We start from the raw sequence: 1,400 nt of genomic DNA, 5'->3' as shown, positions 1-1,400 counted from the left end.
ACAGACTTCAGATACAAATAGATCCTGGGGTCTTGTATTACTCTCTCTTGACAGAACACAACAACCAAAAATAATTAAAAAGCCATGCATTCTTCACCCCAGCCTCTATCAAAAACATTAACGTTATAACCCAGAACATTGCTTTTTCATCCTTACCAGCCACACTTCCAATTTCTCCCCTGCACACCTAAAACAAGATTTTAACATTTCATTTTCTCCACTTGTCTGTGCCTCGTTCCTTATTATTATCTTGTTAGCCTCTCTGGTTAACTACTCCTTCATCTCTTTCTCTCCTTTCTCTAACTGCTTGCCAGATTCTGCATCTCAAAAGGCACAAGGGTGTGTGCGTGTGTGTGTGTGTGTGTGTGTGTGTGTGTGTGTGTGAGAGAGAGAATATGGAAGCAGGCAAAACTACAGTTTAATGGATCTTGTGGTCCCTTTTTGCCATGCATGGGCAACACATACACACACCCAATGAGATATGTGCTGTTGTAAATGTGTAAGCACGCATCTTCCCTTCTTCCTTCCCCTTCCTTCCCTCTTCCTCCCCCTCCCACTGAAGTCTTGACTGCAGGAGCCATGGGTGCAGCACAGCAAGGCAGGTGTCAGGGGGTAGTGATATCAGAGCCTGAACGGGGTGAGAAGGGCTTCCGTGTGGCGCGTCCTGATGGGAAGTGTTAGTGCCCAAGTGGAGTAAAGAGAGCATGGGACGCAGGGCGTGCAGCCTGTCCTGGCTGTCAGGGCTACAGCTGGTTGAGGAGGGTTTGCCTGTGGAGGCGTTGCCTGGGTTGGGGCATCAGAGCTTGAACAGGGTGAGAACAACATCCACACAGAGGCACTGCCTGGGGTGGGGTGAGGAGGGTGCCCATGCAGTGGGGTGGCCTGGATGGGAGTTTAGGGCCAATGCAGGGAGATGAACACGTTGCATGGAGGTGAGGGGTGCAGCAGAGATGGAAGACCGGGTGCATGCAGAAGGATTGACAAGGAAGGGCTTATAGGATGTCTAATGGAAACCATTCTTTTCACTGTCAAATAAAGGAATTACAGACACAAAAGGGGAATCAACATCCAGTGTTGGATTAGAAATGAATGCTTCTGAGTGAACTCAGGGTTTCAATATAGATAGGTAGTAGAAATAAATACAGAAATAGATGTATATGCATAGTCATATAGATAGCAGAAATAAATATAGATATAAATGTATAAGCATATACAGTCATGCACTGCATAAAGATGTTTAGGTCCGTGAAAGACCCCATATGCAATGGTGGTGCCACAAGGCTATAAAGGAGGTGAAGAATTCCCATCACCCAGTGACATCGGTGCTCATGCCCTGTGGAAGTGCAATGCAATCTTCATGTCTGTGGTGACGCTGATGTGAACAAACCTACTTCCCTGAC

At 46.8% G+C, this 1,400-nt stretch overlaps 1 annotated feature.

Annotated features, from left to right (window-relative positions):
• Positions 252 to 758: an enhancer, noted in NCBI's record as "H3K27ac-H3K4me1 hESC enhancer chr11:128689257-128689763 (GRCh37/hg19 assembly coordinates)". NCBI's record gives its function as "activates a minimal SCP1, AML or CMV promoter by ChIP-STARR-seq in primed H9 embryonic stem cells {active_cell/tissue: H9 hESC(primed)}" and the evidence as "EXISTENCE:reporter gene assay evidence [ECO:0000049][PMID:30033119]".

This window comes from Homo sapiens, chromosome 11, assembly GCF_000001405.40.
Source record: "Homo sapiens chromosome 11, GRCh38.p14 Primary Assembly".
Taxonomy (NCBI): Eukaryota; Metazoa; Chordata; class Mammalia; order Primates; family Hominidae; genus Homo; species Homo sapiens.
Note: the sequence above shows the minus strand (reverse complement) of the source record. Positions and strands in the feature narration are given on the sequence as shown.